The 13,361-nt window shown below is 37.0% G+C and overlaps 1 annotated feature.

Moving 5' to 3' along the window:
• Nucleotides 11,896-13,095: an enhancer, noted in NCBI's record as "BRD4-independent group 4 enhancer chr2:146557300-146558499 (GRCh37/hg19 assembly coordinates)". NCBI's record gives its function as "activates an origin of replication core promoter dependent on BRD2, P300/CBP, MED14 and CDK7 cofactors, and independent of BRD4, by STARR-seq in HCT116 cells {active_cell/tissue: HCT116}" and the evidence as "EXISTENCE:reporter gene assay evidence [ECO:0000049][PMID:35650434]".

Genomic DNA, 13,361 nt, shown 5'->3' with positions numbered 1-13,361 from the left:
ATTGAAATGTATACTTTTCTATATCATATTTCTGTGAATAGAACTATTTTCTAAAAATAGATACTTAAAATAGAGAGCAATTATTATCAAGATTGGGGTAGAGAAGTACATAGGTTCTTAATGAAAATAATAATAGAATATGATCCAGAAATAACAAGAAAAGGCCATATTATTTATATCATATTTTTCAGAAAGAAAATCTTAAAAGTGTTCAAAATAAAATAAAACAGACAATAAGTGAAACGGTATCCAAATGCTTTCCTCCCAAAGTTGTGGATTTGGATTGACTAGGGCACACCTGGACTTAGCCCCAAGGTTTAGGGTCTGTTTCCAGGCCAAAACCCAAGTTTCCAGTTCAGGGCTCCCAGATTCCATTAAGATTTCCTGTGAATCAGGCAGGGCTAATTCAGCCTTGAACAATCAATCACTCTCACTTCATTTTGTGAGTGGGAGTGATTGATGGTTCTCCGCTGGTCATGGCTGATCTAGAAGTAGAAAGCAAACCTGGACACGATGCTTCCTGTGTGAGTGGCTTATTTGGAATCAGTCAACTGCAAAGAGCTCTCCTGTGTCCTCCCTAGCTCCTTCCTGGAGAGACATATACCTTTCATAACCTTCCTATATGTTCTATTGTTTTCTTCAAACTATTGTAGGTCTTTCCTTCCCCTCACTCACAGAAAATATCTGGATGTCTGCACCCCTGTACTCATGTTCATGGCCCCTGGATTACCTAGATCTCAATTTTTCCTCTTGATTTTCGTTTTTTAGAATATTATCTGCTAATTCATCAACTTCTCCTCTCTTACAAAACCAGGGCTTGTGCAATAGGAGTTGTCTTTCCTCTTGTAGCTTTCTCATAGAATTGTTAAGGAAGAGAAAGAAAAGAAACGTAATTTAAACTGCTTATTTCTTCTTTCTGACACTGTTCTTTCAAGCAGTGGAGAAAAAAAAAGACAAGTAAAAAAACAACTCCATGGTTTTGTGAATTCGTATGTTTTGTTTGTGCTGTTTGCAGCTTGGTTGTCTTTCATTTTTGGGAATGTTCATTTTGCATTTCAGAGAACAGCGTGCCATTTTGTGGATGTTATCATTATGGCCTTTTAGCCCAGAATTACCACTGCTGTCACAGCCACTAGAAGGAAATGCTCTCCCACTCATTTCTCTGATAAGAAGCTGCCTCATATCCTCATACTTCCTGGGGTTCACTAGCTGGATGGAGACATTTGCAGTTAGGATTTTCAAAGGGAAGCCAATACTGTGCACAGCTTTCAGGATTGTTAGTTTGCCCCAAAACTCACTTAAGTCGTGAAAACCCTTACAAAAAATGATTAGAGAAGTTGCAAAAGTTCAAGGACCCAAGGCAAAACTGAAAGCGGTTCTTTTCATCATTTTGGTGAAGAGTAAAAGGGATGGGCTGCAGCTCTTCTTTCCTGTCTCACAGCAAATCATATCATACAGAAACACAACTACCACATATATTTAGGAAATTATTGACAGGTTCTCTGAAAGGAGAAAGTGCAATTTCACTGATAATTTAGAGAAAAAATAGCCAGCGATTATCCCATATTGTGACAATTGAAAGGGGAATCATTAGTATGGAACATGTATGCATGTATTTACTCAAAATGAAGGATGCGAAAGGATGCAGATTTCTAAGCTTTGATAAGTTGGGAAGAAATATAAAAATATATAATGCATATATGTATATATACTTTTTATATATTTTATATATCCATCCATATTTATATAAATATACATAGATGGATAGATAGATAGGTAGATAGATTTGATAGAATTCATAGGAGATGACTATTTTATTCAGATAAAATCATGAGACCATATTCTTTTCTAAATTTAGTTGAACCCCTTAAAGGGGTGAACTATTTTTTTCTTGAGGGACTGTTAGAATTGTGTGAGTTTATTTGAATCACAAATACAATAAAAACACTCCAGATAGTTTTGTATTTTTTTTTCTTTTCTGGCTTATTGCAAAAGGTAGTAAGTAACACAAAAGAGCTTGTTGTAAAGATGAGCAGAGGTGCCCACATTCCATTTGGCTCTGTCAGTATTTTCGATAAGGATTGGTCCATCAGCCTGGTGGACTCCTGTGTTGGGGACTGTTATGGGGGAGGAGGATCAGGCAGTGTGGCTGGAGGGACAGCAGGCTCTTGTCAATGGTAGCATCACATATTTGGCCTCCCTGCTTGTTGTAGAGTAGTGGGGACAAATGTTCCCCTCACTGCCCAAGTGCAGTACACTTGAGACTCACCCAGATAGACACTTACCCTGAAGGCAGGGACAACTTAGGTGTCCTGAGGTGGAACTGGCCCCACCATGAGCAGTCATTCTTCCTTTCCCTCAAGGACCACACCACTGCCACAGACGTAGCCTAGTGTAAGACACTGCTGAATCACAAAAATATTCTTTTGCTATCAGCCATGTCGCCACTCTCAGACTGAGAATCAGGCTTAACCCTCTGGCCGTGAGAACAAGAGAACTTGGAAGTGGGTGGAAAGGAGTAAAATTTCTCCCATCAAAGCCTAAATACTATCTTATTACCTCCTTCCCAGATAGGAGGGAACATAGTTGCTAATGTTCTCACTGAAGAATAAAATCTTTTTTTTAAGTTACAGCCACTAAAGTTACATGTAATTCATAGCACGGGAGATATCCTGGTTCCTGACCAAATAAGAACAAAGGAACTAGCCAGTTATTTTTTATTAATAATATCTGTACATCAGAATGTGTATATTAATGTTATTTGGTGAGATTATTGTTAGGCAAAGAATACGCTGGAGAGATATGATTACTTTAATGCTAGGGACAGGCAGATGCGTATCAAATGTACATAAACATCTGAAAGCAGATAAGAAAATATTGGCCTTGCTTCAAATGAGATGGAAGCAAAGATAGACGAGAATTATTTATCAGAAATGAAGTGGAAAAAGATCAGGGCCAGGTATGTAGAACCTCCAGGGTCTGCAGTTGCAAGCAAATCAACAGTACAATTTTAGATACACATTATTGAAATGCTGCTGTACTTGGTTAAATAAACAACTAATAAAAATATACAAGAGTTTAAAAGGTAAAAGTGTTGTCCATTATTACCTACAAATAAAGGGAAATTGAGCAATTTTGAAGTTTATTCTTTTTGTGAGGTAAGATCAATTTTAAAACAAACTCTTATTTCTGCATTAATGGTCTTAAATCCAGATGGTAGTATTTTTTTTTTTTTCTAGCCTGGAGCGTGGGAACAATTTTTTCTGCATAGGAACAGAATATCTAAGGGGCAAGGGATATTTAAAGTTAGGTATAGTCCAGCTGTATTGGGTAAAATATATCACGTTTATACATATGACCACAGTGTATTTTGATGACATATTCAGTAATTAGGTTGCTGCTTCTTATAGTATGTTCCTTAGATCACAGTTTATCGAACCATGTATGTATTAATATATATGTAACAAGTAGACCAAATATCATTTAAACAATACTGAAAGCAGTTTAAACTTCCCAGAGTGAGAATTTAATTCAGGTTTCGGAAATAATTATTCTGTTCTGAGAAAAGCACTAGAGTGGGACTTTTACTTACACAACTAAGAAGAGACTAGCAGCACATTGTCCTTGAGAAAAAACCCTAAGTGACCACCGAACTGAAAACAGACGTTCATCTGAAGAAGGTAAAGTTTCTATTTGATAATGAGAATTAGATATAGGTTTAGCAGAGCTTCTGCAGGCTTTGTAAGTTTATAATGTTTCTTTGTTCTGAATTTAGACTAATCTGAGACTATAGGGTATTTGTTATTCTACAGGATATTGCTTATTCTGTTGTGTTCTTGCTTAAAATTTGAAGGTCTGAAATTTACCAGAAACTGAAAGAAGGATATAGGAAAGAAAGATCTGGGTTAAGATTGGCCGAGTTCAGCCCCGAGTGAGCAATGAATGCTCTGCTTTGGAAATCTAGACTGATGAACCCAGATATCTATTCTAACTTTTTATGTTTCTGGGGCTGTATCACCTTACCACTCTGCATGAAATGAGTGAAGAGTCCCACTACCAATCATTTTAAGAAAAGATCTATGCATTTAAGAAATAAGGATTTGAGAGGAAAACTTCATACTGCAATGTGCAAGAAATCTTCCTATCTTTCTGGAACCTCATAGGGTTGGAGCTTGATCAATGGAAGAGCAAGCTTGCTTGAGGGCATTTCCATTGGCCTTGCCATTAGGTAACAGTCCAGAGGATAAGAGCATTCTTAGATCCTCTGGGTTGCATTACCCCTCCATTCGTCTTAAGCATTCAGAAAAGTCCACCTTGTTAAAGAGGACCTCTTCCTTTCTTGGGACCGAGTAGCAAAGGGGAGAGCAGTATGTCCTCCCTTAAACCCAAACAGGCAGCATAGCTCAGCATCTCCAAGAAGAGAGGTATCTTTGGAATGTTCCTAGCAGCAGAAACAGCAGGGAGAGGGGAGAGGGTGAAGAAGTGCAAGAGATGTACCAGGTCATTCATCTATTCTTGATGTTCATGCAACAATCCCAAGAGCACTTATGCTGTTGTAATCCCAACTGGTATGCTGCAATTCAATTCTGGCACCAGCTAACTGGAGTTAGTGCAGATCCCACAAGTCATGGGCTCATCCTTCACAAGAGTGCAGATGGCAGTGCAAGATAGGTGTTCCCATGACTCCCTCAAGTTTGACAATTCACTGGAATGACTCACAGAACACAGCAAAGGATACAATTTAGGAATAACCAAGTGAAGTGACATGTAGGGCAAATCTTGGAGGGGCCTGAATGCAGAGGTTCCATGCCTTCTCTTTGTGGAATCTGGGTGTGTCACCTTCCTGGCACATGAATGTATTCACAAACTCAATCAAAATGCACCACTGAGCTTCCATGTCCAAAGTTTGTCTTGGGTTTTTATTACAGAGACATGACTGGTTAAATAAATCGCCACATGATTGAACTCACTATCCAGGCTCCCTCCCGTCTGAGGAGGTTGTGATAACAAAAAAAAATCCCATCTCTGGAATTACGTGATGGATCTTTCTGGTGACTTGCTCCAAATCTGATTCTACCTAAGGGCCTAACATGAGTCACTTCATTAGCTTAAACTGAAGTGTAATCATGTAATCATGAATAAGAAAGTTCATGAGTACCAAAGACATTTCTATCATTTGGGAAATTCCAAGAGTTTTAGAAGCTCCATGGTAGGAACCAGGACCAAGATCAAACTCTTTATTATACAACACACCTCTCACAAGTTGGTAGGGATGCTAAGTGGGAAGGAGTGTCTGCTGGGATTCAGAGAAATGGAAATCAGAGCCTTAGAATTTGGAGAGAAATATGGCCACATTTGTAGGCACTTTGTGAAGAGACTTAGGCAAACAGGATAGAATATTGAAAACTGAAGTTTATTGTTTTTAAAGGTACTTCCTTCTTGGTTTTAACACTAGTGTTATAGGAGGAGACTTCTCAAGTCATATATTATCCCCAAGTGTGGGTATAAAGCTAAGTATGCTACTCATACAAATTTGGTGAGCAATGTAAGACTTTATTATTGTTTATCCTTCTAATTATCCTCCTAAGCGCATACCGATTTCCAGTGAGAGAACCTTTTACTTTCCTTAAGCTCGTATTGCTTATGCATTGCAAGCCAGTAGCCATCTGTGTGTGAGAAGACAGGCACTTCTAAAGAAAAGTCATACTTGGAGAACTGAAAATAATGTTTTTATAAATGTTATTATAAATGACATGTAAAGTTCAAAGAATTTCAGGAGTTCAGCTAATGAATTCACTTGAAAAGCTATCATTTATAAGGTTCTCAGGTAAGACATCCATTTTGTACATGTATCTACCTCTAAAGCATGCCGCATAAAATTCAACAAATTTCACCTACTCCAAAATCTGGCTGACATTCCTCAGATAAAACCAAATATGCCATACAGTCATTTTGACTAAGGCAGAACATGGCTATACTCATTAGAACTACAGAGAACACAGCTTGGTGTTTGTGAAAAGCCACATGCAGTACTGCATGTTGGGCAAGTATTGAATGTGTTGTTTGCTTAATCTTTCTCTGGCTGATAAATGATGTTCCACTTTGAAGAAACAAGACATATGGTACAGATGCTATCACTGTGCATAGGAAACTGGTAGCAAGTAGTTAAGTGATTTTCTAAGTTCACTCAGAAAGCCAGTAGCAGAATTAGGTCAAAAAGTCCTGTGTTTTATTATTATACTTAGCAAGAGCACTCAGAAGAAAGGCTGTGAAGGGTTAAGTACTAATCTTAACTTGATTATTTTTATCTTTTTGTTTACTTTTATGTCTTCCTACTCTGTCTTAAGCTTCTTTTTAGACCAAAGGTAGATATATCAACGACTAGGTGTTCTAGTTTGTAATCTCCATTCATTACCTTAAATTTATTTTACAAATAAAAATCCATTCTAGATATTCAAACACGTGGGGAGGAGGCAGTTTTTAGTAGGGACTAAAATGCCACTGATTATGTGGTAGAAGTGATTAGATAATCTAGGTGCTGCTGTTTTGCCTTCTGATCCCTGGCTCTGCCCTGTAGGAGAAAATTTGTCGTGGTGGTGGGTTTTTTTTGTTTGTCTGTTTGTTTTTTATTTGTTTCTTTGTTTTTAACTTTCATGAATAGTAACAAAATAATTGTTTCTTTCTAGGAGACGTTTGAAAAAATTTTTGAAAGGAAAGGAAAAAGGCTGTATTTGCCTTCCAGATTTTAGAATGCTTACTTTGGCTTGTTTTCATATTTACTTATAATACATAGAAGTAAATATTATTTTATATAGGGTGTTGTGAGGACTGGATTTTTTTCATGTGAAACACATTAAATGTTTTAGATACCTAAGAGTACATAATTACAAATGTATATCATTAAAGCAAAGCTATATTAATTAATGCAAAGCTGCCTTGGGGTCTAGCAGCTTTTGGAGGCCTTAGCAAAATTACTTAGAGACTTCTTTTCTCCTTTGTCTAAACATGTTGATTTCTTTATTCAATTTTAATTTTGCAACTTAACACAAAGTACATTTTGGAAATGAGTACAATGAGTTTAGACAATGTAATCAGGTTACTAAATAATAAATAGCAAAAATAATCGTAATAACTGTGGTTCTATCATTAAGGTGCATTGATTTTCTCATAGCATATGTTACACAACATATAATTATTTTAAACCCAACTATAAGACTATTCAATTTTATTAAAAGTTGTTTTCTCAAATAAATCCAACTATTTCAAATTCAAGACAGATATTTGTGTAAATTGAAAAAACTGAATCAAATTTTCATTTAGATTACATGTAGTCTAAGGAGGAAAAGACAAGCTTAAATTTATGAATTTTGTGACGATACAGATGTTTCAAAATAATTTACTTTAGTCATTCTTATGTATTTTTGGTTTCCATATTAGAGTTGATGATATAGGAATGATTTCTGTATACTCCCATAAGCTAACGCCAACGTCTTCCGTTACAGTCTTAATATACTGAAAGAATAATGGACGGAATCATTAATGACTTCTAAGGCAATAACTAACCTAGACCAACAAAGAACCTCCTAGTAGAAGTTTTAGGGGGCCTACTTTAGTGATTGGATAAGCATAGTTTATAATAAACATACTGATATAAGATAAATAGGTGCTTTTAGAGGTTTCCCAGCCACAGCACTAATGGCTTTTTGGGTTGAATAATACTTTGGTGTCGGCGGGTTATCCTGTGTATTATAGGACGTTTAGCAGCATCTCTGGCTTCTACCTACTGGATGCCAGTAGCACCCCCCAAAAAATACAATACTTGTGAAAACCAAAAAAATGTTTCCAGCACTTTCAAATGTCCCCTTCCGGCAAAATTACCCCCATCTTCTAGTACAGAAATACTGTTCTAGAAGATGCTTGAAAATAGCTTTCATTCTGCATTGAATATTTTAATGCTCCCCAATGTAATATTTACTTTATTAATTGACTCAGAAAGCACACTCCTTCCTAATACATATGAAACCCACTTAGCCCAGACTCTGAGTGGATTATCTCAAATTCCAAATTTTTATCATCTAAATTAATTTATTTTATTGTATAAGCCCAATAAACATTGCATTAACAGGAGGTTCAGATAAGTTTATAATACTTTTTAGGCCTCTATCAATCAGCTCCAATTAGTACCTCTTAGTCTAAACAAAGCTTTGGGAACCATGTTATAATTTGTATAACAAATAAATATGAAGCAAAATATTAATTCGGCTGTAGTTTAGCATGTTTATCCACTGGTCAGTCTTGACTATTATCAGATATAGTAATTGACTAGCTTGTGTAGCTATAATTTTTCCAACAAAAACTAAAACAGTTATTGTTAAGGGAATATATTTAACAAGAGTGTGCTGGGAGTTCAATGAAATAATGTGTCATTTCTACTATAATCAGCCAAGTGTTTGGAAGAAATCATGAGAATGTGAATGAAATTAGGAGAGAAGTTGGGAAGAGTAATGGATTGGCCATGCGAACCACAGAAATTGTTGCTATTCTCTGCTTCCCTTCTTTTTCTTATATCCAAAACAAGAGCCTGAGCTCATTTCTCTATTTCCCAGCTGTAATTACTTCATCCTGTTCCCTGAATATCTTCACTGACCCTCTATCTTTTCAAGTAACTCGAATCTTTTGTCTTAACTCTAAATGCCCATATAGGCTATTTGCCAAGAAATCTTTACATACATATACTAGCTTTCTCAACCTCTGTATTGAGACCCATTTCTAGCTTCCCTCTTGTTAACCTTAGCATTTTCAGCACTCAATTTTCAAAACCAAAGAGCTGCTTGCTTATTTACCAGATGAGCTTTTTGACTTTAAAACAATAACTAAAAAGACTTGAAACCATCTTTCTCAGTTCAAGTCTTTCAAAAGTCATGGGGCAATAGGACTGAAATAGACTCTAGGGATCATCTGCTACAACTTGCCGCCAAATACGAGATTTAAGCAGGAGGCTCAAAGTCAAACACACCTGGGATCAAATTCTACCTTGATTTTGTATCATAGAAATGACATGAAATAGGTTCTTAAGTTTGCTGAGTCTCAATATAACTTTTTAAGATGGGAATAGGAGTACCTACTTTACAAGAACTTATGAGATGTTTTTGAATTTTCTGACACACAGCTCTTAATAAATAAATAATTCAAAAATACATACTACCACATGTCTATTAATTAAATTTCCTATGTTTCTGATGGAAGAATATAGCTATTAGATACAATATTATATTTATATAGTGTCTACACAAAACTGACATTTAAAAACAACATTTTGTTCATAAAACACCTTACACTGAATGGCACTACAATTTTTTTTTTTTTTTTTTTTTTTTGAGACGGAGCCTTGCTCTGTTGCCCAGGCTGGAGTGCAGTGGCGCAATCTCGGCTCACTGCAAGCTCCGCCTCCTGGGTTCACGCCATTCTCCTGCCTCAGCCTCCCGAGTAGCAGGGACTACAGGCTCCCGCCACCGTGCCTGGCTAATTTTTTTCGTATTTTTAGTACAGACGGGGTTTCACCATGTTAGCCAGGGTGGTCTCCATCTCCTGACCTCGTGATCCTCCCGCCTCGGCCTCCCAAAGTACTGGGATTACAGGCATGAGCCACCGCACCTGGCCAGCACTACAGTTATTAAAACCAATAGTATTGACATAAAACCACTCTTGAATTTAGGTGGAAGATCCTCTAATATATACTTAAGATTAAATTTTTAATTAATTATAAATGGAGTTTTTAAAGGTATGATACAAAGACTCATTTTATCTCCACACTAATAATTCAAATAATGCAAATAATTCACAGTAACCCAACTCTTAATGTCTCATGTCTGCACTCTTAAGCAAAGCATGGTGGTCAATTGAAGTTTCTGGTGATTCCATAGTTCAGATATAGCTTACTGATCTGGATTTTAAAAGGAACCTTTTTAAAATTGTATGCCCCCTAGGGTATATTAAAATAACATTCTCCTTTGTTGAGGTTACAGTTATTAAGAAAAGTTTCCTACGAACCTTGGGAGTAAAAATAACTTTTCAAGCCAGTATTTTCTTTTAAAGTAATTGACCTCCTCATGTCTTAAATTATCTACAATGATACAGTATAAGCTTTGCTTGTTGCTTCAACTGACCTTATCTATTTTTCAATTAACTTTAATTCAACTTGCAAGGATATGTGATTGAGCCATGTACACAGTGAGGAGGAAAATAAATTCAACTTCAAAATAAAGTAGAGATTGTTTTGTTTCTCCAGTCCTTAATCTGGAGCAAAGATGTGTAAACTGAGGTACAAGGTCTACTAAAGGAAATACTTGAAATATTACATTTATATATGTGAATTTTTTTCTTCCCCTAAAGAACTCCCCATAGTTTTCAACAATTCTCAAAGGAGGAGTCATGAAAAAGAATGAGGTTAGAAGTCATTACTCTCAATCAGGAATGCTCTCTAAAGAGAGCTAAAGATAGAAAGTGGTTCATAGTTCTATCCATATTTCTGGGTAAGATTATAAAGCAGATTTCTTAAGAATTCAACCAAAGTGGTGGAGCATTTTTGTCCATAGGTGGAGATTGTGACGATTAGTTTAATGTGTCAACTTGGCTAGGCTATAACACCCAGTGACTTAATCAAACACTAAGCTAGTGTTGCTGTGAAGATATTTTGTAGGTATAGTTAATATCTACTATCAATTTATTTAAATAAAGGAGATTACTGTACACAATATGGGGTAGACTCATCCAGTTAGTTGAAGCTTAAGAGCAAAAATCAAGGTTTCCTAGAGAAGAGGAAATTCTGCCTCAAGACTGCAACATGAACTCTTGCCTGACTTGCCACCCCACAATCATATCAGTCAATTACTTAAAAATCCATCTCTATCTCCATATATATATACATACACACATATATATACACATATATCTATGTATGTATATATTATATATGTATGTGTGTGTGTGTGTGTGTGTGTGTGTAATTTTGACTGATATCACTGGTATAGGGGCCAAGATTACAAATGGAAATAGTAATGGAAAGGATCAATACATTCGATGAGATATTTCATTCAAAATTCTAGCAATGCTGTGGTCTTAAAAAAAAATAAAAATAAAAGGTGGGTAGCATGGTGCCGAATTGAGAAGTTTCCCGTGAACAGGCATTCAGAAGTAGTTCTCGATGCCATACTTGACTACAACCAAAGGGACCACCAGCTACTGAGAAAACATCAGAGTCCCAGCTGAGAAAATCACCACATCAGAGAGCATCTAGGCAGCAGGGATAACAGGGAAAGACAACTTCTGAGTGTCAGAGTCTGGAGGATTCCTACCTTGGCTGTGGTGACTCTGCGGGATCCAGGACTGTGCTCACCACTGTTCTCCAATCATTGTGGGACACTGTAGTGCCCTCTGTGGCTCAATGAACACTGTACATCTAATATAGCTCAATATGCTATTTTTTCATAATTCTGAAATATTTTATCAGCAAGTTTGACAATTCTGAAAGAGTCTTTTTCTCTTTTTATTTGTGTGGCAGAAAGGAACCAATCAAGTTAAATTTGTACAAGATAAGGAGAGGGATACAGCAGTATGTTTCCAACTGTAAAACAAAAGAACTCACTATGTTGTACAGCCAGTTAGTGCATGTTCTCGGTACCTGGCTCATAAGCGATGCTCCAGACAATGATACAACTGACAGTGACCACAAAGCAAGTCTTGGAAGAATCCATTGTATTTGAACCACAGCCTTGCTTTCTTTTCTTCAAAGCACCTTTATTTTGTAACTCTTTTCTGAATTAACATCATCCTGGAAGTCCCGTTAAGAAAGTCCAGTTGAAAAGATGCCAAAAAGCAGCCATGACCATTTCTTCATGTCAAGCACAAGCCAGAAGTAAAACTCAGTGTGTTACTTGAATTCGTTTTGTTTGATGTTTGGGATATGACTTGATTTTTCATTTATTTTTATAAACTAAAATTTTGTTTCTTAAGTCAAACACAGGAGGGGTACAAAGAGGTCACTACAGGGGAAAGTATTTTTTCCAAAGCTGTCATTGATGATTTTGTATTTATTCACCATGGGAGGGCTTTAATAACTGCATTGCTTTGTTGATTGCACTGGTCTTTCTTCTGAATACCTAGGCAAGGCTCTTTCATCTTACTCACACATTGCTCAATGTTGGATCAATGCCAAATTCCCCACCTTCATGAATGATTAACTCATGTAGCCTGTTGCTAATAATGTGTGCACTTGATGGCAGATGATATTTATTTTGGACAGAGTGAATGCAGACCTTGGATGTTTGATCAGGACGTGGTGGCACATAGTGTGTGTGGCCACACTTTCCAGGGAAAAGAACACAGTCCAAATCTTCAGGTTGCCCCCCATCTTCCCTTTGCACTGTCACAGGAAGGGAGTTTTCAATTCACTTTATCATTCACAAGTTACCAACTCAGCCTTGTCATTGTGATTCGTCACACTTACACTATATCCTTTTATGTGCTGTATCTCACTGATGTCTCCACACACCAGGCTGGTGCCACAGGGTATACGTCTACAACAAAGATCTCAAACATAGTTTAAAAGGAAACACCATAAAAGAGAAAAATAACGGTCACAGTTGCTACTAGAGGCTGGTTCCCACAAACCCAGCAGGTTTTCCAACTTCAACCACAGCTGAATTACAACGACAGCTATCAACTCAGCAGCTTTGGGTCTGATTTTGAGTAGTCCCACTATGGCATTATCTTTTCTTCTTCTTCTTCTTTTATAGTAATGCCCTCCTACCTAACCTTCTAAACTAAGAGGTAGAAAGAACAAAGTTCCTTTTTCTTCCTTTAGCTCGCTGGCGGAATCTATGAAGAGCAGATGGAGCAGCCTACCTGACTGCCAAAAAGAGCGATGATTCTGTCCTCAGCCATGACGTGGAGCCACACTACCCATCTGGCAGATTCACATAACTCAGCATTGATAACTCCATTCTGATCAAGTCTGGCCATACCCGAGCTGCATGATTCTTCAGTGTGCCCTGCATGCGACTCACCTCGGGAACATGTTAGAAACTCACATACCTGGAAGACCACCCCTGGAGACTCACAGTCAGTAGGTGTGGTGTGGGTTGGAAGAGTCTATATTTAACAAGCATTTGAGATGATACTGATTCACTGCCAAGTTTGCCAATTCCTTGTTTATATTACAGATTTATTTTTTTTAGGATGTATAACCCTGTAAATATACAGGTACAATAAAATCAAGTGACAGCCTCAGTTGGGGAGTGGAAGGAGGAGAAAGGGATACTATCACATACAGAGCGTTGAAAATGTGCTAAGAAAATTACATT

Source organism: Homo sapiens, chromosome 2, assembly GCF_000001405.40.
Source record: "Homo sapiens chromosome 2, GRCh38.p14 Primary Assembly".
Lineage (NCBI taxonomy): Eukaryota > Metazoa > Chordata > Mammalia > Primates > Hominidae > Homo > Homo sapiens.
Note: the sequence above shows the minus strand (reverse complement) of the source record. Positions and strands in the feature narration are given on the sequence as shown.